Source organism: Homo sapiens, chromosome 1 (genome assembly GCF_000001405.40).
Source record: "Homo sapiens chromosome 1, GRCh38.p14 Primary Assembly".
Classification (NCBI taxonomy): domain Eukaryota; kingdom Metazoa; phylum Chordata; class Mammalia; order Primates; family Hominidae; genus Homo; species Homo sapiens.
This window is the reverse complement of record NC_000001.11, coordinates 29,779,649-29,805,210: the sequence shown is the minus strand read 5'-3', so window position 1 is coordinate 29,805,210 and position 25,562 is coordinate 29,779,649. Positions and strand designations below refer to the sequence as shown.

At 48.8% G+C, this 25,562-nt stretch overlaps 2 annotated features.

The window, feature by feature from the left end:
- Positions 4,756–5,257: an enhancer, noted in NCBI's record as "H3K4me1 hESC enhancer chr1:30272801-30273302 (GRCh37/hg19 assembly coordinates)". NCBI's record gives its function as "activates a minimal SCP1, AML or CMV promoter by ChIP-STARR-seq in primed H9 embryonic stem cells {active_cell/tissue: H9 hESC(primed)}" and the evidence as "EXISTENCE:reporter gene assay evidence [ECO:0000049][PMID:30033119]".
- Positions 20,122–20,623: an enhancer, noted in NCBI's record as "H3K4me1 hESC enhancer chr1:30257435-30257936 (GRCh37/hg19 assembly coordinates)". NCBI's record gives its function as "activates a minimal SCP1, AML or CMV promoter by ChIP-STARR-seq in primed H9 embryonic stem cells {active_cell/tissue: H9 hESC(primed)}" and the evidence as "EXISTENCE:reporter gene assay evidence [ECO:0000049][PMID:30033119]".

Below are 25,562 nucleotides of genomic sequence, written 5' to 3'. Positions count from 1 at the left end.
CCATGCCAGTGCCTGCCCCATCAGGCTGCCAGACACAGAGTCAGTCTACAGCTCAGAAAACCTGTCCCACTGTGATTATCAAGGACTTGCTTCTGCGACATTGGCAGTCGCATCCTACCCGCAGTGGCCTGCCTACAGTGGGCACAGCAGCAGCTGGGTGAGTGCTGTTTGTACTCGGAAACCACCACTTTCCTCCTTTCCAGATTTGTACCCAGGACACGGAATGCTCAGCAGCACATTTTATTTTATTTGAACAAATCAACTTTCCACCATAACATGGAGAGTGGAATGTGTCCAGATATCAGTAATCTAGAAACAAAAATCCAATTCTGCAGGTTTTATTGGTCTTGCCCATGGTCACCTGCTTCCCCCCACCTCCCAGGGACCACCAGAGGCCTGCCTATGTGTTCTCAAAGCCCTGTGATTCCTCCCCCAGCTGAAGAACTGTTTTCTTTCTTTTCTTGTTTTCTCCCCAACCTCCCACCTCTCTCTCTCATCCTCCCTTGCTGATTATAATCTCTGAGAACAGGAAAACACAATTTCAGAATGGTGCTGTCTGTTATTAATTAGGATTTAGTTCCTTTATCACACAGCTCTGAGACGGAGGTTTCAAAAGAGACAAGGAAGGTGCTGGTAGTAATTAACACTTCCCTGCTCACTGGAAAACAGAAATTATTCCCAGATATGCGGGTGCGGAGTTCTTTTGAAGAAGCTTCGGCATGGGAGACGCAGGGAGGCCAGCCAGGGATTAGCAGATATGCCAGCAGGAATAGCAAGAATTCAGAGGAAAGGAGGGGACACCAACCTGAGAGGTGAGAGGGTGAGCCTTGAGGCGGGATTGAGAGGAACCTGGACAGGGGCAGGAGCCAGCCTGGACCCCTCTACCAGGACAACAGGATGCTCTGGGCCTCCAGAGAGGGAGGGGAGGTGACACACAGTTCAGATGTATTGGATTTGCAAGACTTTTCCTGGGTTTTTCCCAACTCACTTGTCCTTAACTAACTGCCATTAGTTAAGATGACCCTGTCCAACCCAAACAGGAGTGAAGGGCAGTCCTATGCAGCATTTGAGAAAACAGCAAGAAACAAGACCAGAGGGGTAGAAGAGCTGGACACAGGGGGGCACCAGACGCTGCGCCCATAGCTTTGTATTATCTTGGAGGCATATGGGGTGCCTTTGTCTGTGTGTCTCTGTGTCTGTGCATCTGTGTGTGTATGTGTGTATGTCTGTGTGTGTATGTGTGTATGTTTGTATGTATGTGTCTGTGTCTATGTGTGTGTGTCTGTGTGTATCTGTGTGTATGTGTCTGTGCATGTGTGTGTGCCGTGTTCCTTGCAGTTGAGGCCATGATTGGATTTTCCCTGTCTCTGGGGACCCAAGGGGAATCATTCTTTCTCCCAGAGCCCCTCTGAGCCTCCTTCCCAGTGGGCATTCCTGCCTGTCTGCCCCTGTCCCTGACTGGCCCCTCCTCCAGGAGCAGACTGGACACCTCCTGCTCATGTGGGTGAACTGAAATGGGTTGAGGTGAGCCGAGCAGCTCCATCCGTTCCTTCGTCCTGGTGCCTGACCCTTCCCTAGAGGGAGACAGACCCCTTTGGCCAAGGATCAAGCTGTCCTTAGCTGGGTTAAGCCTCTGTATGTGTGTCCAGATCACTTTACATGTTCAGTTCCTGGAGGAGCCAGGACAGAGCTGTGGGTGGGTCACGTGGGAGTAAATTCAGGCTCAGCCCTAGCAGCCTGATCTGCCCAAGAATGGGATAGATGGCCCTGTCAGGTAGTGACCACACCATCCCTACCAGAGTTCAAATCATTACTCAGGACGGTGAAGAGAGGGCTTCCTGCATTTCCAGGGGAGTTGGACCAAGGTCACGTCCTGTGCTGAGATGCTGATTCCACCATGTCTATTTCAACTCCACGTGTCCTGGATCATTCTGTATTTCTCAGGGCCAAGCCTGCTGTGAATGTGGTTGCAAGTCTTTCCTAGCGATTTCTTAATCCCAAGATTCTTTGGGTCTGTGATTCTATGAATGCATCTGTGATCCTGTCATTCTGGGATTTTGTAAAAGGGATAAGACTCTCCGAATCTGTGATTCAAACACTCCATTAAGGTATCTTTGAGTCTATGAAAGAAGCTCTAATTCCAAGATTCTGTGCGTCACAGATGCCATGGAAGGGACCGTGAGATCTGCAAATCCTCCACCCAAGACCCTCCCCTCTCACATTTCAGCATCTGCAAAAGGAGGGCGTCGGGCTTATCATCACCAAGCTCCTCTTAGCATTAGAATATGGCGTCCTGGTTGCTGATTCTGTGCTCCGCCATCCCCTGTCATCACCTGGCTCACCCTAGTCTCTCCCTTCAAGGATCCAGGGTCTTAGGGGGGACCAACGGTTCCAGAAGCCCCCACTCCTTCTCCACTTCCTCCTGAGCCTGGTTAACCTGCCAGCAGAGTTAGATCCTTCCCAGGAAGGCATTGGTACTTGACATCATCTGTAAACTGCTTTTAGGATTCCACTACCTATAATTTCCAGGGGACACCACTGCCTCCCAGACTGGAGAAACAGGAACGGGAAACCTCCTGGCTTCTCTCTTCTCCGGACCTGCCATCCCCCCAGGCCCAGGGCTGGCCAGTGTGGATGCATCCCTGCTGCAGCCTGCTGGGGGCTCCTCCACAGTGTTGTCTGTTATAATAACAGAAATTAATCCGTCCCTAGGGTCCCCTGCACCCGCTCCCCACAGCTGAGTGGGCTAAATGGTCCCAGGTGACAAAGCCCGTGGGGCTAGCCCCTCAGCAGGTGTACTCCCGGCTGAACAGATTTTTACCCAGGGGTATTAATTACAAGGGAGATGACAAGTGCAGCGTGGAGCCATTGGGATTTCCGGTTCGTCTTGCTCAGATAAAAAGCAACAGAAGAACCAGAAGCCAGGAGCCCGCTGTCGTTTCATGTCTGTTTATTTTTCTGATGGACTCGCCCTGCCCCGCCGTGGAGGTCTTCTTCCATATTTCCCCATTTAATTGGCTGTATTCTCAGTGGGCTCTAAGCAGCAACTGTCCTGCCAGGGTCAGTTCAGGTTTCTCTGGAAAGGAATTTGATTCCCGGGGAAGGAAAGAAATGGGAGAATAATCAGGGAGGGGTTGGAATTCTGGGAAGGGCCAGATCTGCACTGGGTCCCTCAGGATATCCCAGGGCAGCCCCCTCTCTGCCCACCCTAACTTCAGCAGCTCCAGAGCAGGAAGGTTGGGGTCCTAGGGTCACCTGCCACAGAGAGGAAACCAGAGCCCAGAGCCCCGTAGACTTGGCCATGGGAAGGACACAAGCCACTCCCATCTTCACTCCTCAGCGGCCTCCCCTGAAACAGTCCCTGAGCTGGCCAGGCCTGAGCCCCCGTGAGCTGGCAGGGAGGGCTCTGACCATCACCCTGGGGGAAGGTCGGGGAGAGGCTTCCACGGCTGTGCAGACCCAGGCTCTCGGCTCAGATACTTCCAGCCTTTTTCAGTCTGAGGCTCAGGCGCCTGGCAGGCCCTGGCACTACTGGACCCAAAGGCCTGCTGCTCCTCCCCTCTGCCTGTTTAATATGTGTCTTGACTGCTGGATGAGGGCTGTTTGAGGGCCGGGACCTTGTCTGCCTTCTTCACTGCTGAAATGCTAGAGGTCTGGCATTGGTCCTGGTATACTGTGTATTTGTAAGGAAGAAAGAGGGAAGGAGGGAAGGGAGGAGGAAATTATCTCGTTTATTAGCCACTTGCATCACTGTCCTCATGGACCTGACATTCCAGTGGGGCAGACAGACAATAAACTATAAACATAATGTATAAATAAATTAAACACAATGCTGGAGGCAGGACAGTGGGACGTGTGGTGGGCTCAGAATTAAATACGACGGTCAGGGAAGCCTCACTGAGGAAACAAAGTTTGAGCAAAGACTTGTCTTTGCTCTTATTTCATCATCACAACATCTCCATTTACAGATGAGGAAACAAAGGCTCAGAGAGGTTGACCATGAACCCAAGGTCACACAGCACGAAGTGGAGGCAGGACTTCCTGCCCACCCCACCCTGGAGAGAAGGGTTCCCCCAACTCTGCCACATTCCAAACCCCCACAGGCATTACACCCAGTGGGTCTTTGCACCAGCACTGTGACCAGGAAGTTATAATCCCCACTTGACCAGTGAGGAAGGGGAGCCATGTGAGAGTTTCAGATCCAGGACTGGAACCAGAGTTTGAAGGAATGAAAAGCCTCATTCTTCCTGACCTGCCACTTGAAAGGAAGCTACCATGAGCCCAAGGTGGGATCTTGGCAGGCTGGTGGGAGCCCAGGAACCTTCTCAGAGTGCTAGGCTCACTGCCAGATCCAGGCATCGAGTGACACCTTCAGAAAACAGGTGAGACTGAGCCAGCAATAGCATGACTCACTGTAGGAGGATTGAGGAAGGGACACCTGAGGCCTGAGCCACAAACAGACCTTCCAGGCCACAGCTGGGCCCAGAGACAGCCGAATCACAGCCACCAGGGACTCACTTGGCCAGATGAGAAAAGGCAGCTGGGGGTCCCAGGTGCTCACCCCTGGACTATAGGCACACCTTCCTCCACCGCCCAGCGGCCGCCTGTAACACGCTCAGTGCCACTCACCCACCCAGCCCAGCAAGCCTGCCAGGAGAGTGGAGGCAAGTCCTGGGCTGTTGCTTCCCAGCCTGGAGGAGAGGAACGGGGGTGACTGGCAGGTGAACTCCTCCACAGCCCCGGGTACAGAGGTCTGGGTGTGGAAGGAGAAGGGAGTCTCTCAGGGTCAAACCAAGGGCACCCACCAATCCTGCAGCCCCAGGTCCTGGCCAGCCAGACCTCTCTCCAAGTCACCTCCCCTGTTGTCTCTGGCCAGACTTGAAAGGAGGGAAGCCCCTCACCCACCCTGGGCCAAGGCGGGACAGGCCTTCAGCTCAAGGCCCAGAGAGCAGCCCATGGCCTCAGTATTGGGAGACGTGTTGTGGGGCCAGGGGCTCAGGGGACAGATAAGAATGTGCAGCCTCATCAAGCTCTGGCCTGTTTTCCACTTCCCTGCCCTGAGCTGAGGTGGCTGCCTTAGTAACCGCACAGATGTGGTGACACAGGCAGCTCCCAGCACGGCTGAGGGGACATCTCAGACCCCAGAGCCTGCAGGGTCCCAGGATGTATTAGTCAGGGTTCTTTAGAGGGACAGAAGTCCTCTCTAGAGGGGAGTTCTCTGGAGAGACAGAATATATATATATATATGTATAAAGGGGAGTTTATTAAGTATTAACGTGACCACAGGGTCCCACGATAAGCTGTCTGCAAGCTTGAGGAGCAAGGAGAGCCAGTCTGAGTCTCAAAACCAAAGAACTTGGAGTCCAATGTTCAAGGTCAGAAAGCATCCAGCACAGGAGAAAGATGTAGGCTGGGAGGCTAGGCCAGTCTTGCCTTTTCATGTTTTTCTGCCTGTTTTATATTCGCTGGCAGCTGATTAGATGGTGCCCACCAGATTAAGAGTGGGTTGCCTTCCCCAGCCCACTGCCCCATATGTTAATCTCCTTTGGCAACACCCTCACAGACACACCCAGGATCAATATTTTCCATCCTTCAATCCAATCAAGTTAACACTCTGTATTAACCATGATAAGTCCACCCTTGTCAACCTGAATCCGTACACATCTCCTGAGATCATACATAATCTTCAAATAAAGATAATAATAAGGTCAAAATTACGCCTAAAATAATACAACTTATCCTTTGTACAACCAGAAACCCACCAATTCCCCAACTCAAATACTATTCATAAAGTTAACAATACTTTAATGCTGATATGAAGTCAATAAATTTTATGTCACGTGATAAAGGAAAAGGAAATAAAATGAATATATTTTCTTAGTACGAGTGTATACATGCACAGACATGTTTTTAACCAAAGAAGGAGGAAATACCCATGACGGTTACAGTCTTCATTTCTGCAGCTGATCACGTGGTCATAGCTGGTATCGATGACTACCTTCTTCTACTACTATGCTGTTTGGAATGCCATGACGGTGGATAAGGTAGTCTGTGAGTACATGGATGGTAGTCTTGGCAGAAGCATTGTGTGCAGGAGAGGCAAACCCATATCTGGAGTAAGTGTCTATTCCAATGAGGACAAACCTCTGTCCTTTCCGTGATGCAAGAGGTCCAATATAATCAACCTGCCACCAGGTAGCTGGCTGATCACTGCCAGGAGTGGTGCCATATCAAGGGCTCAGCGTTGGTCTCTGCTGCTGGCAAATTGAGCACTCACCAGTGGCCATAGCCAGGCCAGCCTTGGCGAGTGGAAGTCCATGTTGCTGAGCTCATTAGTAACTTCTATCCCTGCCACCGTGGTCACTTCGTTCATGGGCCCATTGGGTGATGACAGGGATGGCTTGGGAAAGAGGCTGAGTGGTGTCCCCAGAAGGGGTCATCCTATCCACTTGATTATTAAAATCCTCCTCTGCTGAGGTTACCCATTGGTGAGCAGTCACATGGGATACAAATATCTTCACAGTTTTTGACCACTCAGAGAGGCCCATCCACATATCTCTTCCCCAAATGTCTTTGTCACCAATTTTCTAACCATGCTTCTTCCAAGTCCCTGACCATCCAGCCAAACAATTGGCTACAGCCCATGAATCAGTATATAATCACACATCTGGCCATTTTTCCTTCCTTGCAAAGTTCACAGCCAGGTGCACTTACCAAAGTTCTGCCCACTGGGAAGATGTCCCTTCACCATTGTACTTCGGGGATGTCCTAGAAAGGGGCTGTAGTGATGCAGCTGTCCACTTTCAGGTGGTGCCTGAGTATCCTGCAGAACCATCTGTGAACCAGGCCCTAGTCTTCTCTTCCTCTGTCAACTGATCATAGGGAACTCCCCATGAGGCCATTGGTGCAGGCTGGGGAAGAGGAGGCAGGGTGGCAGAAGTCGAGATCATGGGCATTTGAGCCACTTCCTCATGTAACGTACTTGTGCCTTCAGGATCTGCTCGAGCCCGATCACTTATATACCACTTCCATTTGATGATGGAATACAGCTCTGTATGACCCACGTTATTGCTTGATGGTTAAGAAAGCACCCAGTTCATGATAGGCAGTTCAGGTCACATGGTGACTTGATGACCCATAGTCAAACATTCAGTTTCTACCAAAGCCCAGTAATAGGCCAAGAGCTGTCTCTCAAGAGGAGAGTAGTTATCTGCAGAAGATGGCAGGGCCTTGCTCCACAATCCCAGAAGCCTCTGTGTGATTCACCTACAGGGGCCTGCCAAAGGCACCAAACAGCAACCCTATCTGCCACTGACACCTCAAGCACCATTGGATCTGCTGGGTCATATGGCCCAAATGGCAGAGCAGCTTGCACTGCAGCCTGGAACTGTTGCAGAGCCTTCTCCTGTTCTGGACCCCACTCAAAACTGGCAGCCTTTTGGGTCACTAGATAAATGGGCTGGAGTAACACACCCAAATGATGAATGCGTTGCTGCCATAATCCAAATAGGCCCACTAGGCATTGTGCCTCTTTCTTGGTTGTAGGAGGGGCCAAATGCAGCAACCTATCCTTCATCTTAGAAGGAATGTTTCAACAGGCCCCACACCACTGGACCTCTAGAAATTGTATTGAGGTAGAAGGTCCCTGAATTTTAGTTGAATTTATTTCCCATCCTCTGGCACGCAAATGTCTCACCAGTAAGTACCGTGTGTTTGCTACTTCTTGCTCACTGGTATAATCAGCATAATGTCATCAATGTAATGGACCAGTGTGATATCTTCTGGAAGAAAAAAGCAATCAAGGTCTCTCCAAATAAGATTATGACACAAAGCTGGAGAGTTGATATACCCCTGAGGTAGGACAGTAAAGGTATATTGCTGGCCTTACCAGCTGAAGGCAAATTGCTTCTGGTGGGCCTTATGGACAGGAATGGAGAAAAAGGCATTTACCAAGTCAATGGTTGCATAACAGGGACCAGGAGTTGTGTTAATTTGCTCAAGCAATGAATCCACATCTAGTACAGCAGCTGCAATTGGAGTCACCACTTGGTTAAGCTTATAATAATCCACTGTTTTTCTCCAAGATCCATCTGTCTTCTGCACAGGCCAAATGGGAGAGTTGAATGGGGATGTGGTGGGAATTACCACCCCCGCGTCTTTCAAGTCTTTGATGGTGGCACTCATATCCACATTCCCTCCAGGGATGCGATATTGTTTTTGATTTACTATTTTTCTAGGTAGAGGCAGTTCGAATGGCTTCCATTTGGCCTTTCCCACCATAATAGCCCTCACCCTACCAGTCAGGGAGCCAATGTGGGGGTTCTGCCAGCTGCTAAGTATGTCTATGCCAATTATGCATTCTGACACTGGGGAAATGACTGCAAGATGAGTCAGGGGACCCACTGGACCCACTCTAAGTCGGACCTGAGCTAAAACTCCATTAACTAGCTGACCTCCATAAGCCCCTACTCTAACTGGAGGACTGCAATGATGTTTTGGGTCCCCTGGAATCAATGTCAGCTCAGAGCCAGTGTCCAGTAGTCCCTGAAATGTCTGATCATTTCCCTTTGCCCAATGCACAGTTACCCTGGTAAAAGGCTGGAGGTCACCTTGGGGAACAATGGGGGAAAGACTCACTGCATAAATTGTTGGTAATGTAGTGGGGTCCTTCCTCAAGGGGACCTGGCCTTCCCTCATTCAAGAGGTTTTGGGTCCATAAACTGGCTCAAGTCTGGAAATTGATCGAGGGAACATGATTCTCTGTTTTTATAATTAAAATTAGTCTTTTGTCCGTTCGACCTAGAAGTTTTCTCCTTATAAAAATTAAGTAGGAATGCAGTAGGCTTCGTATCAATTTCACTTCTAGGAACATCACGACTAATTAGCCAGTGCCAGAGTTCTACATGAGTCAGACTATTCTGATTGCTGCTTTGTCTCTGCTGTCCATTATGGTAGCTATGTCCACCTTGCCTTTGACATAGCTACCATACCTGAGTGCCACCACTTGGCCCCTGCTACCTGGGGATCCAATTATTCCCATTGTATTTAAATTTTGTAGTTGAGTGACTGTGGTTCCCACTGTTAGATCTGACATACAGAGAACAGCAATTACAGGGCTCTTTAAAGATGCAAGTGCTGCCCTCACAAATCTGTTTCACAAGGCATTGGTCAAGAATATATCTTCTCAACCCTCCCAGCTGGGATGAGTAGGTCTAAAGTGACTAATCCACTCCACCATCCCACTCTCCCTAAGCCTTTGGATACCTTCCTCTACATCAAACCAAGGGAGATCAGGCATTTCCAACTTGCTCACAGTGGGCCATCTTTTAATCCATATTTCAGCTAACCAAACAAATAAACTATTGGAACCTTTTTAACTCCCTGAGCTGCAACATTAAAAGCAGAGTCCCCACTTAGTGGGCCCAAATCAATAAATTCAGCCTGATCCAACTCTATGTTCCTTTCACCATTATCCCATACCCTTAATATTCATTCCCATGCCTGTTCTCCAGATTTCTCTTTATATGGAGGACTCAAGCAGTTCTTTTTTAATGTGATGCACCTCCTCATGGGTCACACTCTCAAACTCACCTCCAGGGGCCCACAGAGACTTTAGTCTAGTTATAGGTCTAGAAGCAAACGGGGGCATTGGAGGTCGATCCTGAGGAGAATCAACATTATTTTGCCTGGCAACTGCCTCAGGGGAGGCCATCACTGTTGCCTCAGGCAGCACAGCATTTATCTCCTCAGACAAAGGTGGAAAGGCTGATGGCAGCATGGGTCGGGGAGGGGATGTTGCCACTACTGGGGATGGGGAAGCTGTTCCTTCTGGCAAAAAAAGGTTCATCAGAGTGTGCAAACTCAGTGTCCCCAGCTTCTTCAGAGTCCTCCCACATCCCCATTCCAAGCTGCAGAGTCCCATTCTCTTCCAATCAGTGCCTTCTCTTTAGCAGTAGACACCTCCTGAGGCTGTGCATGCACCTTTCATGCAGGTCAGCCACTCTCATGATAAGAGTTTGTGTCTGTTTCTCCACAATTTCAGCTCTTTCTCTGCAGGAGATGAGACTCTCACTCAGGGCAATCTTAGCAGATTTGAGGCTCAGTGTCTGCCTCTGAAGCCTGGAGAACGGAATCCCTGAGTTCATCATTTTCTTTCCTCACTTCATCTACTGAACTTAGGGGCAACCAACCAGCTTCATTATGTTCCTTGGTTCTCCAAATATGGTCAAAAGTATTATGTATAGAGTCACTAAACTCCTTGCCTCTCACGAGCAGTGAATCAGGAGTGTCAGATGGATTTATTTTGTGTAACTCTCTAAACAGTTCCTCCCAAGGACTATCAGTGTTCTCCATACTATTAGAAGTAGAGTCCTTAGCATTTTTGAGTCTAATCATCTTAAGTAGCCAACTCCAGAAACCCCAAAGCCAATGAAAAACTCCATCCTTAATATTCTGTTCCTCTAGAACCACTCCTGGTACCAAAATCTGTATTAGTCAGGGTTCTCTAGAGGGACAGAACTAATCGGAGATATATATATACACATATGTATATATATATTTTATATATATACACATATGTATATATATATTTTATATATATACATATATATATTTTATATATATACATATATATATATATATAAAAATTAACTTACATGATCACAAGGTCCCACAATAGGCCGTCTGCAAGCTTGAGGAGCAAGGAGAACCTGTCTAAGTCTCAAAACTGAAGAACTTGGAGTCTGATGTTCGAGGGCAGGAAGCATCTAGCACGGGAGAAAGACGTAGGCTGGGAACCTAGGCCAGTCTCACCTTTTCACGTTTTTCTTCCTGCTGTATATTCGCTGGCAGCTGATTAGATGGTGCCCACCAGATTAAGGGTGGGTCTGCCTTCTGCAGCCCACTGACTCAAATGTTAATCTCCTTTGGCAACACCCTCACAGACACACCCAGGATCAATACTTTGCATCTTCGATCCAATCAAGTTGACACTCAGTATTAACCACCACACAGGGGGACTTGGGGAGAGAAACTAGAGCCTTGGGGGCCTGAGGGAGGGGTGTCCTGGGAGAGAAGGAGGACAGGAGGGAGAGAGGGAGGGAGGTTGGGTTTTGAGCCTCCACTTCCCCCCAGGCCCCATGCCGGTCACTCCACACACTGTCCCATGTGATGCCCACCACACTTACGAAGGTGCAGTTCTACCATCTTGAACACCGGCAGGTACCTGGCCCCATGCTCTGTGCTTCATATGCATGGTCTCATTTCGCAGTCTCAGCATCCATTGGAGAAGGAAGCTTTCTCCGCATTTCCTGGGTGAGCAAACTGAGCCCAGGGAGGTGCAGTCACGTGGCCTCAGCCATGCAGCAGACACACGGTGACTGAGATGGACTCACACTCACTCTTTGGATTAGGGAGCTTCCATTCTCTCCAGGGTGCCTGAGGGGTCTTCCTGGGGATCAGTCCATCAGATTTCAATAAAGACACAGAAACCACACAGTGATCTGAATAGGAGACATTTTCTATACATAATTATTAAACTATGATAGAAGAGTGCCTAAAATGATGTCAGGAAGAATCGGAACAGCACCCTAGGGCTGAAGAAGACAACCTTGGAAGGACCTGCCCCCGAGGCTGGGGTCCTGACTTCGCTGGATGTCTGTGGCTGCAGCCCCTTGAATGGCAGAGAAGGTATTGGGTCCCAGAGGTGCTGGTTCATAGATGCAGGTCAGGCTGGCAGGCAGGAAACACCTCTCTGGGCACAGGAGAGAGAGTGGTGTGCACGTGCAGGTGGAGGTGTGGGCTGGACCACAGCAAGATGGGCACTGGGCTCAGGATGGGCTATGAGGTGGTCGAGGGACCATGCATTCTGGGTGCACAGCTGAGGAAAAGCCCCAGAGGATGTCCCCCCGCGTTCATACCCTAAGAGAAGATGCAACAGGAACAAGAAATTGCACAACAGAGCTCTGTGGACCATGAAAAGGCCCCTTCCTCCACAGTGTCCCTCCGGCGCCCTCTACTGACAAAGCTTGATATCGTGCTTGCTGCAAAGAAGGGCTTAGAGTCCAGTCCATCAAGGAGCAGGCACTCACGGGGAAGTTGGAAGCTGAGAGGCAAGAAGAAACCAGGGCTCTGCAAACTACGGCCACCATTCAGACCTGGCCTGATGTTTGTTTTTCATGGCCTATAAGCTAAGACTGATTCTTTACATCTTTAAATAATTTAAAAAACGAGAAAAATAATCTTTCAAGACATGTTAACGTTATATGACATTTAAACTTCAGTGTTCATTGATACATCTTTAATTGTATCACTTACAATTGTGGAAATTTGTTTTCTCTCTGGTTACATGAATACGGTAGTCCTCCCTTATCTGCAGTTTCATTTTCCAAGGCTCCAGGTGCCTACAGTGCAGTACAAGAAGACAATTTGACAGGGAGGGAGACCACATTCACATAACGTTTACTACAGTGTATTATTATAATTGTCCTATCTTATTGTTGTTAATCTCTTATTGTATCTAAGTTTAAAATTAAACTTGAACATAGGTAGGTATGTATAGGAAAAAACATAGTGTATATAGGGCTCTGTACTATCCACTGTTTGACGCATTCACTGGGGGTCTTGGAATGTAGCCCCCATGGATAAGGGGGAACTATTATACCATACCTATATTATATCCTTGATTTGTCTCTTGGCCCACTTGCCCTAAAATATTTATCACTTTGTACTTTACAGAAAAAGTTTGACAACCGCAATAAATTAAGAACTGGCGGCCAGGCGCAGTGGCTCACGCCTGTAATCCCAGCACTTTGGGAGGCCGAGGCGGGTGGATCACTTAAGGTCAAGAGTTCAAGACCGGCCTGAGCAACATGGTGAAACACTGCTCCTACTAAAAATGCAAAAATTAGCTGGGCGTGGTGGCACGTGCCTGTAATCCCAGCTACTCAGGAGGCTGAGGCAGGAGAATCGCTTGAACCCAGAAGGCGGAGGTTGTAGTGAGCCAGGATCACGCCACTGCACTCCAGCCTGGGCGACAGAGCAAAACTCCATCTCAAAAAAAGAAAAAAAAAAAAAAAAAGAACTGGCTAGGACTCTCTTGATCACCATTACTAGTGCCCCATCACCACCCCTCATAATAGTCAGGTCTTGGCTGCCACCCCCTGACCAGGCAAAGCCTCTAGACAGTTAAAGCTAGGAGACCAAAGAGGAGCCCACTTAGGGACACTCACACAGATCCCTTAGAGTAAGAGATCCAGGAGGCTGTAATCACGCCTGTAATCCCAGCACTTTGGAAGGCCAAGGCAGGCGGATTGCCTGAGCTCAGGAGTTCAAGACCAGCCTGGGCAACATGGTGAAACCCCGTCTCTACTAAAATACAAAAAATTAGCCAGGTGTTGTGGCATGGGTCTGTAATCCCAGCTACTCGGGAGGCTGAGGCACGAGAATCGCTTAAACCCAGGAGATGGAGGTTGCAGTGAGCCGAGATCTTGCCACTGCATTCCAGCCTGGAGGTGGCTGGGTTGGAGAAGGTGTATAATCTCTGAAAAGACAGTCTTCTTTCATAGGATTTGCCCTGTGAGCAAGGTCACTGCTCGCCTCAGAAGCTTTTGGGAGGAGGAGGTTAAAGGGATCCAAAGCTTCTGGCGCTCCTCAAATGGCAGGGATGAAATCAGCTCTCTCTGACCAGGTCTGAGCAGATTGCTAGTGTGAGAGACTGGAGGCCCTCATTTCTGGAGACTCAGACGCCCCGATGCCAGATTGCCCCATACCAGCCCCACACCTGCCATTCCAGCACCCATCCCATTCAAGACACGCCACCTCAAAGCCTAAGACCTTTACACTCATCTTTTCCAGTCTCTGGGGCTCATTTCACAGATGGGGAAACTAAGGCCCAGAAAGGTTCACCAAATACCAGCAAATAAAAAGTGGAAATAGCAGGTAAGTTGGAGTCACAGGACTGGCTTGCAATTCCAACCTAATCTGGAGTGCCTTAAGAAAGTCCTGGACATCTCTGAGTCTCCATTTGGCATCTGTAAAATGTTCAGCCCCCTCCCTGCTCCCTATGCCTAGCCCAATGCCCTGCACCCATCTGTCTGCCTTAGCTACTCTCTGTCTGTAAAACAGGTCTGTAAAATGGATCACTGTGAAGTTTAAAACTTAGACAAGTTTAAGATTAGAAAACCCCTGTAAAGACTCTAGCACATAGTAGGTGCCCTAGAAACAGTAGCTCTATAGAGAACCAAGCCTGTCCTTATCCAAATCCCCAGGGCAGATACATGACAAGATACCTGATGCCAGCTGAGCTCTGGTGGCCAAGACTCCCACCCACAGGGCAGCTCTGAAGAGGAGGTGGTGAGGTCTCAGTTTGCAGGAAGCCCAGGAGCAGCTCCTGTCTCCTCCCTTATTAATTGTACCCATATCTGGAACAGATGGGGAAAGGGTGTCTTTTTTCTCTCTGTTTTTCAAAGAGCTTTGGTTCAGGAGATAACTGTAATTAAAAGAGAAGAAATGCGAAACAATCCTCTTAGACAGACCTCGCCATCTTCCTTCCCTTGTAAATTTATTAATGAACTGTAATTGCAAAGATAAAACCTTTATTGAAACCTGGTACACAGTTCACCATGGGGCAGAAAGATTCCCATTGCAGTCCTAGACCTAAGAGGGAAAGAAGAATATATTAATCGGCTTAGTTCTGTATATCTATACAAAAATGAGAAAAATATATATTGGTGGTATTTGTCAACAGACAGTGTCTGCCCTGGGGAGACACTGGTTTTTCTTCCTTCTGAAGCTTGCTTATAATCTTCTGTTAATCAACCTGGAGATGAAAGGGATTTGGATGTTGAGTTTCCTAAGGACCTGGAGCAGATGTGGGGAGAATTGAGTTCTTGGTGGGAGTCTGGGTTTGAGAGGGATTCCAAGATGATGCTGGCTGCACACCTTGGAGCCTGGTGGGGTAGGACCAATTTCCCCATGCAGGGAAGAAGATCCAAGGGGAAGCTTGCATGGGGCAGGTGTGCAGGCGAGAGCCAGCTTGGCCTTCTGCATAGGTTAGGCTCCCTAGAAGCAGAGCCTGAGATGGGGACTTACGGGGACATGTGAGATTGCAGAGGGCGCACGCTCAGAAGAAGGGGAGTGAGGGAAGTAGCGGAGGGTGGGCAAGAAGCCAGGCCAGGGCATGGACTTGGTCTAGTCTAGCCCTGATCTGGGCCCATGGGGAGCTCTGGAGTGTCCTCTGTGGCACCACATGACTGTCCTGCCTCCTCGAATGAGCCAGACCTTTTGTACCCATGTGTCAGCCAGTGACTGGCTGCAGGTCATCCCAGGGAAAGGTGAGACCTCGCAGGCATTTTTCAGGTGAGTCAGCAGTCAGCTTCCTCAGCTGAGGATGATTCCCCAGAAAAGGGCCCAGCTGGCAGCCCACGCTCTCCACAGCTGAAGGACGTGGGCAGGGCTATAGGGTGGGACCCAATAGCATATATCTCAGGCCCCCTGATTCTGACCCCACCATCGGTAACGCGTGATGGTTCTGCCCCACCCCCAGTGCCACTTCCCTTGGGGACCACTGCTCAGCCCTCTCCCTTCTCCTTGTCCTTGAGGAATCACTCCCCACCCAGGCTCAGGGGAGTACAGAGCCCCAGGCCTGTGGCCAATCAGTCTTGCATTCCCCTGGCATAGGGATTCGTTGAGGTCAGAGATTCGGGTGGCAGCTGAGGGAGGTGCAGGTGCAGATTCTTGGACAGGCGATTTAATGAAGAGTTGTCTCTGGAAAAACTGGAAAGACATGGGAATGTTGAGTCATTTGGGGCTAATACAAATAACACTGCCATTCTTGTGATAGAATTTCTGTGGGTGTCTGTTTCGTTTCTCTAGGGAAAATAGCTGGACCCACCAAGTCACAGATCAGGTATTTGTTTTACTTTTACTTTATCAGAGGCTGCCAAGTTGTTTTCCAAAGTGGCTGGACCTGCCTATATTCCCACCAGCAGGGGAGGGAGTTCCAGCATCTCCACATCCTTCTCAACACTTGGTAAGGCAGGTCACATTAACTTTAGCCATTTTGATGAGAGTATTGCATCTTGTTATGGTTTTATTTTGCACTGATGACTAATAATATTGTCCATTTTGTCACGTTTATTAGCCATGATAAATCTATTGTGAAGTGTCCATGGGTATATGTTGACCATTTTTATTGCACTCTTCACAGGGAGGTCTTGTATATTTTTTTAGTCGAATCTCTTTGTATATATTTTTGGGTTTTGTTATGATAATAAATAGTATTTTTATTTCACTTGCCAATTTTTTTTTGTTGCTAGGACATAAAAATACAGTTGACTTATAAATGGTGAACTTACACACCCCTCGGTTGGCATGAAACCCTGAGTGAACAAGCATGCAAGCATTTATTGAGCTCCCTGAATCAATTTAGTTCTGATGGCACAGGGGATAGGAAAGGATGGAGGCAGAAGGAGGCTTTCCTCATCTGCAAAATGGGAGGAATGCCAATAGTTGACACCACAAAGCAATTAGTGTGTGCACTGTATTAAATGTGTGTGTATATATAGACATATATTTACTATTTTATCCTCAAACAACTCTATGATGGAGGTACTGTCATTACCTCCATTTTGCATGAGGAAACTGAGGCACAGACAGCTTATGTAACTTCATAAAGGTCACCCAGCTGGTAAATGCAGAACTGGATCCAAATCCAGCTGGCTTGCGCTTCAAGTCTGTGTTTCCAGCCCCAACTCCACCCTGTCTCCAGTATGTCCTTGAAGATGACCTTGAAGGTTAATTGATATATGTCCGTAAAGAACTGAGCACAGTCCTGGTACATAGTGCTCAATAAATGCTGGGTAAGGTGTCAGGCACCAGCCTGCACTCTGAGGAAACAGTGGCGGCTGAGCCAGACACACAGCCAACCTTCAATAGGCTTCCAGTCCCATGGGGAGGACAGAGGAGTGAACTGTTGCTTATAGTGCAGAGAGTACAGCTAGGACTGGAGAAGTTCAGGGCAGCCACGGGAGGCCAGGGAGGGGAAGTGGAGGTGTTGGAGGAGGAAACAGCATGTACAAATGCCCAGTGGCCCAGAGAAGAGAGACAGGAGCCATTGCCGCAGGAGCAAGGCAGGGGCATGGGGTGATCAAAGGGGCTTTTGTAGGAGCATTTTGGGAAATACCAAGACTAGACTGAGCGGGGTGAGCTTGGCATCACCAGGAGGGCCAATATGAAGTGGGATGAACCAGCTCCCCAGCCCCTTACCTTTCATAAGCATGGGGGACTTTCCCAGTGAGAGCTACAGGGCATGCGGGAGAGCCCCTCCTTTCTCTTACTGAGCCCTCCACACTGGGGGCTATTCTGTGGGTAGACCCTGGGGCTACTAGACACCCCTACCTCCCCCAGACACCTCCCCCATTCCACCCCTCCCTCTCTACCACTGATGCAGCAGGTTAAATGATAAAGCAGCTTCATTATGGAAGCTTCCAGCTCATTAACCAGACAGGGGGAGATGAGCGAGGGAGGACTCTCGAGAGAGCCCAACCCAAGAGTCCCCACTAAGGTTCCAGCCCCAGGGAGGGAGGAGGAGCATGCAGGGAGCAGTCCCGAAACCCACGGTCTGTGCCTCCAGGAGACCGGTGGGAGCACATGGGATTCACCAAGAAAGGTAAGCCCCCGAGAGCTTCTCCCTCTGAGTCCCTTCGGTCCTTCAGCATTAGGACGGAGACACATTGGGCTCTAAGGAGGTGGATCCTGAAGACCCAGAGCTGTGGGAGCAGAAGATGGTGGCCTGGCAGGCCTAGGGTCAAGGAGGGCTTCCTGCCAGTCCCCTCCCCAGGGCCCCTCCTCACTGAGGGCTCCTCCTCTCAGGCTGGGCAGAAGGGCCCAGCGATGCCCCTGTGAAGGTGGACACAGAAGGACCCTGGCAGAGCCTGGAGCAGGCCTGGGGAAGGGGAGCCATCGTGGCTGGGCCACAGGATGATGGTGGCTGGATGCTGGCTCTGGGCTCTGTGGCGAGAGAGACAAGTAGAGACATCATAAAACCTTCTTGGGGCCTGTCCTTGGCCTCAGGCCAATGTGCTCAGTCCCTCAAACTTGAGATGCTAACCAAGGGTGCCAGGTGCTGTCCAGGGAAGTGTGCTCAGCAGAGAGGTTGTTGTGTTGGAAGGGAATGAGGGGGACCTGGAGATCTGCTGGCTTGTCTGCACTGACCCAGGAGGCTGACCCTGAGCAATGAGAGTGTTGCAAACTCCCAGGCAAAGTCCAGACTGGAGTGTGCCCGGGATGCATTTCCTACCGCATTTTGCAGAGGGCAGCATGAACCCCAGCATACCTTAGAATCCAGAACTGAGAATCAGGGGAATCTGGAGTTTCATAAACCCAAGATTTCAGATTCTGAGAATCTCAGAATTTAGAAATGTAGAGGCTCAGAGCCCGGAAAGTAGAGCCACCAGGTAGTTTATGACTTCCAGTCTAACAGAATTGTCTTCAAAATACAGGAAAAAAAATTAAAAAGACGAACCTCCCCTGGGAGCCCAGTACATGGATCAGAAGAAGGCTGGGCAGCAACTCTGGCTGGAGGCAGGTGGCGGCTTCTAAGACCTCTCTGCTGACCACCTTCCCCCAGGCATTTTGACCCCTCATTCCCTATCAGGCAGCCCAGGACACTGTGGTCTAAGCACTTCAATTTAGGGATGGGGATGCTGAGTTGCAGAGAAAATGCGGACCTACCCAAGGTCACCCAGGGAGCCAGAGGCAGAGCCAGCTCTGCCCCTCCCCACTTACTCAGCAGAGCCACTGCCAGGCTGGGCACACTGGGTCAGATGGCACTGGATCCCAGGGCTGCCAGGAGCAGATAAGCAGGATGTCGGGGGGATGACAGAGCACCTGCCAGGATGCCCTTTTTGAACCTGGCCCAAGGCCAGGCTGAAGCAGGAGAGAGAACCTACCAGTAAGACAGTGTAGGGCGGCCTACCCAGGGCGCTAAGCTCTGACTGTCTCCTGGCTTAGTCTTTGAACAACTTCCCAATAAAAACACTTTAAACTGTCATTTAATGAGTGTTTACTATGTGCCAGGAGCTTCAGGTACATCATCCATGAGTACATTATTTATTGGGCACCTACTGTGTGCCAGGCACTGTTACGGCACTCGGGATAAATCAGAAAACATTTCCTTCTTGGATCCTGACCCACAAAGCAGCTCTGACTCCCTTTTCACAGATGAGGAAACCGTGATGAAAGCACCTTGCCCACGCCATTTGGTGGATCAGTGGCAGGGTCTGACTTGAACTCAGGCGCAGCCACAAATGTGAAGGCCTCATCAAGTCTGAAGCACAGGAGATGCCCCAAAATAGCAAGTCCCTGACTCCTCCCCAGCAGGGGCCTGAGAGGTGACTCTCGGCGGGGGCGGGGCTGGGGGTGGTGAGGGCCATAGTGGAGGGGACAGAGTTTTGCGGTGGTGGTGGTGGTGCTATGTGGCAGTTTGGGTGCCTTAGAAATCTACCTACCCCCAGAGAAACAAGATTGACAATGTGAGGGTATGAGGAGGAGGCTGCCCAGCAAAGGTGGCACTGGTGCTCAGTTCTGGACACAGAGTCCTCACAACTACCCTGAGAAATAGAAGCTCTTATCACTCCCATTTTACTGATGAGAAAACTGAGGCTCAGAGAGGCCAAGGGACTCGTGGGAGGTCACAGAATGTGCCAGAGCTGGAACACAACCCAGGCCTCTGCTGACTCCACAGCCTGCTGATGCTACTCTGTCTTCTGTCTCTGTCTTCTACTCTGCAAGCCTTCCAGAACATTCCTCCCACACCTGTGCTGGTTTTTCCTCCCTCGCAGAGCAGACCCAGAGGGCACCGGGCCAGCCCCAAGGATGGCAGGTCTCTCACCTCCTCCTCCCTGGATGGCTCCTTACCTTGCTGTTTCCCGACATGAGCTTTTCCAGCAACTCAACACCCAACTCGTGCTGAGCCCCCAGCTCGGCTCCTGCAGGGGCTGAGGACAGGCAGCTCGGCCGGCTGTCCTCTCTCCATGGCCATGTCTGTTTTCCTTGTGGCTTGCTGGCCTGCCCCTCCCTCTCTCTCTGTCCCCTTCCCCATCTCTCTCTCTCCTTGTTATTATCTCTTTCTCTCTTCTCCTCCCCTCCTCCTTCTCTGTCTCCCCCAACACCTCCCCACTCAAGGTGGTCAAGGTCACAGCCGCAGAGGCTGATCCTTGCCTGCTCCCAAAGGGGGCTTTGGCTCCACCCTGGGCCAAAGCAAGGGTGATGCCCAGAGCCTGGCAGGGGCTGGGGGTAGGAAGCCTGGGCCTGCTGAACTCTCTCCCATCCAGTCTGGGAAGGCTATGCCATCCTCAGTGCTGGACAGCAGTGGTCCCAGTGAGGACACAGCCGTCTTCTTAGCACAGGAAGGACATCCTAGTCCTGGCAGGAAGGGCATCCAGAGGTCATCCTGTCTTTCCCCTACCCCAGGACATGCTGGCTGGAGTTTGCTTGTCTGGGAAGATCATTTCATTGGCCTCCCCGCCCCGACAGATGGTCAGTGTTCTGGCTCCTCATAACCTGGAAGTCCGTTCTCAAGTCTACCTCACATTCTGCATGCTGTAGGGCCAAGCAGGGGACCAGCTCTCTCCTCTGGAGCCTTCCCTGTGACTGGGCCCGTCGGGCCCTTCTCCAGCCTTCACAGGAGTCCCAAGTCATTTCCCCTGTGCCTGTTTCTTGGCCCCTTGATCATGGAGCTGTCGCCTGCCTCCCCACCTCCTCTCCCTCCCACTTTCTCCAAGTTCCTCCATGGTCACAAACTGCTGTCCTCATGCATGAAACTGGGCCTGGAGGCCTGGGCCGTGCAGGGCCCTTGCCCAGAGGCTGCTCCAGAAGCTCTGCCTCCCCAGTGGAGGGACCGGGGCCTCTCACCTTCTCCCCCTGCTGCTTCCAGAAGCCGGATGGGCTGATGGGGGGAGCAGGGCTGGATGGGCTGATGCGGGCGTGGCAGGAAGATAGACCCTGGGCAGGTTTCTGTTCCATATCCTTTATGGCGGGTGATGGCCCCAGGCCTGGTGGTTTCTGGGGAGAATGGGCACACGACTGAGAAGCCCAGGTTGGAACTCAGCCCCTGCCGACAAGAAACTCCTTCTCGGTTGGGCTGTTGGCAGACCCATGTGGTGAGGGAGGAGGGAGGATGGCTTCACACAGCCCATCCCCGCTGCTAAAAATAAATAAATAATAAATAAATAAATAATTGATCTGATTCTAGGTCTAGCCACCTTCCTAGTTTGGGGTGCAATGGGGGCAGCTGTCTGCTGTGACATCAAAGTGAGCCCAGAGTGACTTTTCATCTCACTTTCCTGAGCCCGTGGGGCCAGTGAGACTTAGGACCGGAATCCCAGCCCGAAGTCACTGCTGCTCCATGCCTTGCTCTCAGCAAACGTCCTCAGAACAGGGACCCTGTCAGCCCCTTTCCAGGGCGGCAGCAGCTCTCTGGGTCTGATGAGTGAAGGATGGTGGCAGAGCTTCTCAGCATCCAGAGATGCTTCCAGGACAGCTGCCGGCTCCCGGCTTCAAGGCCCCTTGACTGTGGGGCCTCCCCACCCACCTCTGGGTGCTGTCCAGCCCCACGCAGTGCCTGTGTCTCCCCCAACCCCCCTCTCCAGGAAGCCGGCAAACATGACCAAGACCACTGCAACTACCACCAGAGGACACACATGAAGAGCACTGTGGACCAGAGCTTCACAGACCAGAGCACCATGCAGGAGGATGAGCGCTGGGCCTGTCCTTCATGGACACCTATGGCTACAGCTCCTGGGGTGAGTGCCCAGCTCTCCTACCCCATCCTCATGGCCCCTGAGCTCTCTTCTTCCAGCCCCTTGAGCCAACAGGACGAGGCCTTTTGTCGGGTCCTCCATGCATGAGATGAGTTCTGTAACACCACAACCAAAGCTGAAGCACCTATTGGGCTTCTGCTGAATACCAGCACTGGCACAGGAAATACAGAGCAGGCACAGGTAGCAACTTTGCACTGTGTACTGGAGGAGCTTGCAAGGAATTCTGCTAGCATAAGAGGAATGCAAGATCCAGCGTGACACTTGTCATGGAGGAGGTGCTGCTGCAGGAACAGAGGGATCAGAGTGGCCTCACCACCTATTAAGCTCCTGCTGTGCACGAGGTGGGGATACAGTGGCTGAGAGGGACCTATAGAGAGTCACACAGATCACCTATGTGGATGTCTGTTTCCTCATCTGTAAAACAGGTACCAATCACAAGGCTGCCGTGAAGACTAAAAGAGACCATGCAGGTCAACCACTTGGTGCAGTGCCTGACTCCAGAAAAAGTGTGTGCAATCTTAGCTGGCATAATTTGTGTCTGCTAGACCCTATGCTGAGCTTTAATATAGCACTTCACTAGACCTCTTCTTTTTATGACATACTATTTGGTTTTTATAAAAATTCTATTTAACAAATGTGTCAATTATGAAGCATAACAATAAAATTAACTGCCATGAATCAGATCTTGGAAAGTGGAATATTTTCGAGGGCACTGAAGGTCCTGGTGACCCTCCCCAGCTGTCTCCTCCAGTGACCCCCAGAGGTGGCCACTGTCCTGCACTGTTTGTTCATCTTGTCCATCTCTTCTTTGCAGTTCCTCCATATATGTCTATATCACCATGCAAGACACTGTTTAGTTTTGCATGCATATGAGCTTTATACAAATGTCCTAGCTAAGCGTGGATGGATCTCTGTGACTTGGCTTTTTCACTCAGAATGGTTTCTAGATATGTCCGTGTGGATACGTGTATCTGCAGTTCATTCGCTTTGCTGATGTTCAGTTTTCCATTGCGGGAATATACCACAATTCATGTGTCCACCCTCCTATCTGTGGATATTTGAGTTGGTCCTAGTTTTTTGCTTTCTCTGGGCAGTTCCATTTGTTTATTTGTTATCACAAATGAGGCTGCTGTGAACATTCTTGTACAAGTTTCCTGATGCACCTGCATAGGAGCTTCTCTGGGGTGCATTCTAGAAGGGAAATTGCTGGCTTGTGGTGGGTGTGTTTGTTCAACTTTGCGAGACTGTGCCAAATTTTTTCATAATGTGGCTGTCTGTTTCCACTCGCAGCAGCGGCTATGAGTTTTCATTCCTCCATACCCAGATCCAAATTTGTCAGGCTTCTACATTTTTGCCAGAATGGTGGGTGTAAAATGGTAATTCTCTGTGTTCATAATTTTCATTTCCCTGATTACTAATGAAATGAAACATATCTTCAAATGATTTTTGGCCTTCAGGTTTCTTCTTCTGTGAAATACCTGTTGATATCTCTTACCTAATTTTCTATCATTCATTTGTTGCTATCCTAGTGATTTTCAGGAGTCCTATATCCATTTAGGGTAAGTCATTTATTGATTACATGTTGTAAATATCTTCTTCCCATTTAAGACTTGTCTTTTCACTTTTCATTTTGTAGTCTTTGGAAGAACAGAATGCCTTGAATGTGATTTAGTCAAATTATTCCCCCTTTTCCTTTTGTGGTTTGCGCTGTTAGTGCATTAGTAAGGAAATCCTTCCCTACCAGAGGTCATAAAAATAGTCTATATTTTCTTCTAACATATTTAAAGCTTCGCATTTTGCATTCAAATTTCTATCCATCTGGAATTGATTTTTGTGTTATTCCGAGTTGGGGATTTGATCTTTTTCCCACGTGGATAACCAGTTGTTGCGGCATGGTCCACATTTTCCCCGCTGGTCTGCAACGACAGCCGCATGATATACACTTTCCATATGCAAGGGTTTCTGGACACCCACTCTCTTCCACTGGCCTTTTAATTAAATCAAGGTCTACTTCTAATCACTGTGGCTTATAAATCTTGATATCTGAAATGGCAAACCCCCTGACATGTTCTTCAGGTGTGCCTTGGCTATCTTTTCCCTTATCCTTTTTCTTATGAATTTTATAGTCAGCTTGTCAAGTTCTATTAAATATGCTATTGGGATTTTGATTGGAATTTTATTGAATCTGTGGAACTATTTAAGGAGAACTGTCATCTTTACAATATTAAGTCTTCTCATCTATGAATTTAATATATCTCTGCACATGTAGGTCTTGAGTACCTTTCAATAAATTTCCCCAGAAACATCTTGAGCATTTTTTGTCAGATATATTCTCCTGTCCCTTATCTTTTGTAGTTTTGTAGTTTGTATATTTTGTAGTTTGCTATTGTAAATATTATCTTTCCAACCATGATTTCTAACTGTTGCTGGTAAACACTCGGTTTGAGTCTCATTAATTCTAGTACTTTTTTTTGCAAATACTTTTGGACTTCCTATGAATGCAGTCAAAACACGTTAGAATCATGACATTTTGTGTTGGTCTGGTTTTTTCACATTCATTAGCCTTTCATTTGATTTTCTTATTTTTATGCACTGGCTCTGGTTGGGAGGTTGGGACCTCCAACACAATATTGAGCGGAAGTGGTGAGAGAAAGCATCTTGTGTTTTCCTGATTTTAAAGGGAATTAGTCTGCATTTCAACATATGCTGTAGGCTTTTGGTAAAAGTGTTTTACCAGGTTAAAAAAATTTCCTTCTATCTCTAGTTTGTTAACTATTATTTTTTAATGAATATTACATTTCCCAAAGGCATTTATTGAGATTAATCTGTTAACATAGCAGCAATCACTTATAGATTTTTCTAATATTAATTGATCCCAGGATAAACCCAACTTGGTCATGATGCATGGTTTTTATTCAGTAATTTAGTAATTCAGTGATTTAATCATGCTTGTGATTTTATTTTTAGTTTGCTTGTTTGTTTGTTTGTTTATTTTGAGATGGAGTCTTGCTCTGTTGCCCAGGCTGGAGTTCAGTGGCACAAACTCAGCTCAACACAACCTCTGCCTCCCAGGTACACTCAGAGATTCTCCTGCCTCAGCCTCCTGAGTAGCTGGGACTACAGGTGCACACCATATGCCCGGCTAATTTTTGTATTTTTAGTAGAGACAAGGTTTCACTATATTGGCCAGGCTGGTCTTGAACTCCTGACCTTGTGATCCGCTCACCTCGGCCTCCCAAAGTACTGAGATTACAGGCATGAGCCACCACACCTGGCCATGTTTGTGACTTTTACAACTATGATCATGAGAAGTATTTGAATTATAACCTTTCTTTCTTGTAGTACCTTTCTCTGGGTTTTAGTATTAAGATTATAGTAGCCTTATAAATTCTTTGAGAACTGTCTTCTTTTTTCTAATTTCTGAAAGTTTGGAATGAGAAGTTCCCTGAAAGCCTGGTAGAAGTCACCTACAAAACAATCCGTTCCTAACTTTTTTCTTTATGGAATAATTTTAAACTTCTAATTTATTTTAATTAGCCTAGGACTATGCAGACTTTCTGTTTCTTTTTAGTAACTTTTTGTAAGTTATATTTTTCTAGGCAGATGTCCATTTAATCTAAGTTTTAAATGTATTGGCATACACTAATTCATTATACTGTCCTGTTATCTCTCCCATTAAATGAATATCCCCCATTAAATTTTTCAACAACCCTTCACAGTGGTTATTATCAACCCCTGGAT